Genomic DNA, 6245 nt, shown 5'->3' with positions numbered 1-6245 from the left:
TCACCCATGCTTCTCAAACTTCTGTTTCTATCTTGATGACACTTCCAATGTCAGTTGAACTATCCAGAAAGCTGAGAATGTTCCCTGCCTCCTTTTCCTCTCAATCAAACCTAAGTTAGTGCTGCTGATTCTTCCTCTTTAATTGCCCTCCTACACGTTCATAGCTTTTCACTGCCACAGTCAAATTCCTAATATGACACTGGCTTTCCTGGTGAATCCATGAGTCCTTGTGCTCCAGTCTTGTTCATCTTTGATCCCTTATCCACAGAGGCAGTGTGGATTTTTAAACAGACACAAATTTGATTATCCTATCCACTTTCATAAAATTATTTTTATATTTTTGGTCATACATTGTTCACTATCTAAATCCTAACATGGTTAATAAGAACCTTATCAAATCCTCTAATTCATTGATCTTATCATTTTCTTTCCATCCATCAGCCCCTCTTTTTTAAAATTTATAATCATATTTAATTGAAACCACAGGGTGAAGCATTAAAGGTAGAAGAATTGTCACACAGGCGTTTTCTGCACAGCCTCTGGATCCTGACTGCCAGGTTTTGATCCCAGGCTCTAACACTTATTGGTTATGACCTTGCACAAGTTATTTAACCAGTTTGTGCCTTACTTTCTTCACCTGTGAAATAGGAATGCCAGTAAAATTGTTCCTACCTCACTGTACAATTTTAAGGACCAAATGGGTAAATTTATACAATGAATTTAAAACAGAGGTGGGCACATCGTAAGAGCTCGGCAGTGTTGCCCAACATTTTATTACATTAACTTCCTTGCAATTACTCTGACTCTCTTGGTGTTTCTCCTAAGGTCTTCGCTGGGTAAACTTTCAGACAAAAATAAATGTAAAAACAAACATATACGTCTCTGGCCTATCCCATACAGCACACAGTAGGCTGGTTGTATAAGTCCCAAGCTTCAGCGGTTCTGTACCACTGTCCAAAACAACGACAGCCTCTCCAGTCAGCTAACAGTTCTGTTCTTTTGCAAAGATTATTTAATAACTTTTCTGAATTCCTAAAGTTCCTATAACCTCCTGCCCACACATCCTCATTTTCAGCTGAAGACTTTGCCTCTTATTCAGTTAGAGAGTTTAGAAGACTTCAGACTGAAAGTCTGGGATTTTCTCATCTTCCATCAAAAATCTAGTTGAGTCAGCTTCCACTTCTTCCTCTTGTCCTTTCAGAGAAGGGAGTATCCCTTCTCTTGCACACCAGCCATGGCCGCATCGTCACCTACCTTCTCAGCGATGGGATCCCTCCAGTTACCTCCTCGCTGGCCTCCTTTCCCTTCGTGTTCTGCCAGCTGATTTCCAGTAACATTACTGATATTCCTTCACAACACACCTATTTGCATGTCCCTACAACTACTGCACTGTTTCCTTACTCTCCCCAAAGCTTGGCTTCTCGATTCTTTCCTCTACCAGGTCTTTCAGCTTCTTCTTGTTCCACGTTCTCCCCGACTGAACTCTAAGCATGTGAAAACTTTTGAATTGCCTTAATCAACTTATTTTATTTACATTTTTCTTTTTATGTTCACCTACAGGTGATATATGATTTTTAAAAACTGTATCTAAATATGCATAGAATAAGCTCTTCTAATGAGTATAAGGAAAGATTCTAACTGAAGAAAAGCACCACGTTTCTTTGTTTTCTGAGTGGAATGTATCACATCAAAGTCATCTAGGTGTCTTGTAGTCAGTGCCCATGAGACCTGATGAAACACGGGCTCGCAGACTCACACAGGCTTTCCTGGATGGCCCAATCCAAAGCAGGAACTCCCTGTGATTCTCTCTTATCAGGAATTCTCTTCATTTCTCCCCCAAGGGGCTTCTCTCCATTGTAGATTTGTTTCACAGCTATTTCTTTGAAGGGGGTCTTTGAATGCAAAGCCACTTCTCTTTGATTCACCCCATTATACACTCTGCCAACGGAGTGATTGGATCACAACAGGCTTGCATTGCATATTCATGGATTTACAGAATCCGTAAATGAAGAACCTCCTCTGGGGAGGTCCCTGTGTTTTAGTAACAGAATGTTGGTAGCTGTAGGGTACAATGAGGTAAATGACAGTCAACTGATTTTTGCCCTAGACTTTGGTTATTAAGCACAAACTTGCTATTTGGTTATTAACCAAATTTGCTATAAGATGCCTTAACATGAGAAGATTCTAGGGCTTTATAAAAAAAAAGACATATAAAATCCAATTGGTTTTTATTTAGCAGTATGATTAGGACAAGGCTTTAAGAGTTGGTCACTACACCATCCAGGTGATCCTTATTAATGAAATGACCCAAATGTACAGTTGGAAACATCCTTCTGCAAGGATGATTGCAGACCCTACAAAATGTAAAATTTTCAGAAGGTGGAATAAAAAATAAACATCAACATAACCCTGGAAATTTTTTGCACAAATTCAAAGCAAATATTCCCCATCTGGATTTCCCTTTGTGCAACCATGGATATAAACCAGAGTAAAAGCAATCATTCTGTAATCCCTCAAGTCCTTAAGCAAAGAATAAATGTAATTTTCTTTTCTAGATACAAAAATATAAAAAAGTAAACTCTGATTCGGAGCAGGTGTCAACGCTTAAGTGGATCATAAATCATAATTAAATACAAACAGTGCCTTATCTCACCTTTTGATCTTGGTTTTTCATTTTACAGACAAGATAAAATGGTTAAAATCCCTGAATGAATTACGTTTCATTGGAAAATGTGCAGTTGTCCCTTCGGTTCTTGATGGAGATCAGAAAAATTGCAAGAGACTTCATCATCTGTTTACATATACTTAGGCACCGTCTTATGTTGATATTGTAGAATGAAGAAACATAACTCAGTCACAAAAGCATCCAAATTAAAGGCCTACAACTTGCACTTGAAAAACCAATTATGAGCTGCAACAACAGACCTAACAAGTTAAACAAATAAAATATAATGATTTACTTCCTCCTGGAGATGATGTGAGACTAAATGAGAAAAATTCCATTAAGTACTCTTTGAACATGTCATATAAATGCATGATATTAACAGCCATCATTATTTTCCCAACATTTTCTGGCTCATTAATTTATATCTGGATTTCAAAAGATTAATGCACCATTTTTAATTTTAAAAAGACATGTGAAATAATTATTTTTAAAATTAAATTGATATAAATTCGTGAAGGAAAATGTTCATTTCTAGTGGGTAGAATGATTTTTAAAATTTGGTTTCAGGTCAAAATTCCTTCTAGGAGGTGTTCTACCAAAATATATCAGGAGAGGGCAGTAATGTTTCATGCTTTAATTCGAATAGAGAGGAAAGGAATAGTCATTTCAATTTTTCATTGCAAATCAAAGCACAATTATAAGCTAATGTCCTATCCTGCCACCAACCTCAAAGGTCATCAGAGTATGTTCTATAAATGAAAAGAAATTGTTAGTTTTAATTACATGTAAAATTAGTATTGTATGCTCTGGTAGTGCCTATTTCTTTTTGGTTTACTCTTCATCTTTGCATTGAATAGGATATTGTAGGTGATACCATATCCTTCATGGATTAAATTCTATGGGTTGTATCACAGTTTAACTTGAATATCTGATTTATTGTTCTCATCATTTAAATCACTTGAAATTAAATTACTGTGTTTTGTATCTTCTGCATTTTTCACTGAAGACATTTAAATTTACTTGAATGAAATAAGACTTTAAAAAGCAATATTCAAAATAAAATAAAAAAAGCAATATTCAGTTTTTTGTAAATCAGGGTTTTTTTTACAGTTTAAAATGTCTGAAAGAACTAAAAGTTGTCCATTTTGCCTCGGTACTCACTCAGCTGAGTGGGTGAATTTGCATGTGTTTGAATCATGCCTCTCTTAGAATATTAAAAGTGGAGCACACTTAGTTCAAATGTAAGATGTTTTTGGAGGAGAAGTGTATTGATGTGGAAGAAATAACACTCTTGTGACTCTGAGGTGCACAGAGCCCAAGACAAAATTCTCAAGTAAGCAACGTATTTGGGGTCCTCTGATCCATTTGTGTACCAACACCCCAATTCAAATCAAATGTAGCAGAACCAGATACAGTGGTTGGAATTATGGCAGATGTCAGATCAACTCAGACAAGAGCTTTGTAACAATTAGAATAACTGAATGGAATGAAGGTTTCCATGGGAAATGAAGCTGACCTAAGCTTCAGACAGGGCATGGACAATCAGTGATTAAAGACTGAGGTATCTAATGAAGTGGTCATTAGGTGGTCTTTAAGTCATTTTGCAAATCCAGAAAGTTGTAAAGTCAACACATACTTGTTGAGCCTCTGCTAGATACAAGGCACTGTCTCTGTGGACCTCTGGTAACTTCATCATGCCCCAAATTCTAGTTTGGTCCCATCCCAGAACTTATGTTTGAAGAAATAAGCAACGAGTTTTCCTTTTTCTTCCAAACTGCAATTGACTCATATTTCTGAACACTTCTGGTTTCTGAATTTCATAAATAGGTACAAGTGATAAAACAGAAAATTGTAGAATGAATTAATCCTTATTTCACTTTCTCAGGTGACTCACACTGGGTCCATGGCAGCAGGAGGGGAGTAAAAAACAAATTAGTGTGTGCCCCATCTAAACTCCGAACCTATTTTCAAATATTTGGTGTATTCCTGCATGGTTCCCCTTTCCCCGAAATGTGAAATTTTGCATTCTCATTATCCACAAGCCCCTTTCTATTGCAACTGCCTCTTTTTGAGGCACAGGTGTTGAGTCTCCCTTCATCTCATTGCTTCTGGTCCTTGTACAGGGTTTGTTTTCCAAAAGTACTTCCCTTTGTCAGTGCCTATCTCTGGTCTTCCTGCACAGAGCCCCATGGCCACAGAGGGTCTTCAGTTCTCCTCCAGTCCCTGTGTCCATTGCTTCAGGGTGCAGGCCAGATGTCCTGGAGTCCTTTCCAAATGGCCTGCACTCCGGGACATCCCTGGAGTGAATCTGTAATCGGCTCTACATGCTGAGCACTTGACGTGAGCCAGGCATCCAGGTCAGGCCTTAAATAAGTTATTTAATATTCTCCACAAGTCTCAGAAGTTATGCACAAAAATTAATTAGTGCTAAATATCAGGAACCCTAACCAATAAAACTGATCTGGGGACTGAGCCTGCCACATCCCACACCAATTTGACTGAACTACAAATAAAAAACAAACAGGAATGTGTTTATCAATCAAAATTTTTAGTGGCTAGTGAGTTAGTCTGGGCTTCATTTGTTTAATTTACTAGCACTATTGAAGGAGTCATAAAAATGATCAGAACTAAAACTGATTCAAATCGGTATTTCGATTAATTTCAGATCCCCCGATGGATTCAACAAAGCAGACATAATATTACTGTTAGCAATTTGTAGTTATACAAACACAGCTGAGAAACAAAACTTTTCCCGTAAAGTGGAATAAAAACAATTACCTACCTCAAAGAAGTAGTTTACAAAATATATGAGATTACTGTAGCACCTAGCTCCTGGTAAATGTTTAATAAGTTTCAGTTGCTGATAAGATTAGCATTATCACCAGGATGTCATTTCTGAGAACAGGCATTTGTGTCTCTTCATTCACTGTGGTATCTTTTGGCCTACAACAGTGCCTGGCACATAACATAGACTCAGGAAATAGCTGTTGGATAGAGCAGTGCTCCCACCGAGTGTGTGGCCTCAGCTAAGTTCCTCAACCTGCTTCTACCATGCTTTCTTCATTTGAAAATGAGGATAATGATAATACTGATCTCAGGGTTATTGTGAGGATTAAGTGAGAAAATGCTTATAAAATACTTAGAAAAGCCCTTGAAATATAGTAAAAGGTAAATAATTATTAGTTACAACTATTATATCATCTCTATAGTGTGGAAAAATAATAATTTAGGATAAAATAGTCATTCTTTTTAAATACATTCAGGACTACCTTATAATCACTTACTGTGTGAGCTGTTACAAATCAGAAAATCAAGTCTCTGGGATTTATGTGACTTTTCCAAGGTAAACTCACAAAGCTCTCTAAGTAACAACTCCGGGACTCAAAACAATGTTTTTCTGACTCTCCAAATCCCATTCTTCAGCTCTGGGCCATTATACTTGGTCCTCTGTAGGTTTGTTTTAAAATAAAGTATACAATTCATTTACAAGATTGGTTAATAATTTAAATGGTGGCTGATATGAATTAATCTGAAAAAAATTGTAATGTGCATTTATTTACACTACAGCATTCTCTAACAT

This window comes from Homo sapiens, chromosome 13 (genome assembly GCF_000001405.40).
Source record: "Homo sapiens chromosome 13, GRCh38.p14 Primary Assembly".
NCBI lineage: Eukaryota > Metazoa > Chordata > Mammalia > Primates > Hominidae > Homo > Homo sapiens.
Note: the sequence above shows the minus strand (reverse complement) of the source record.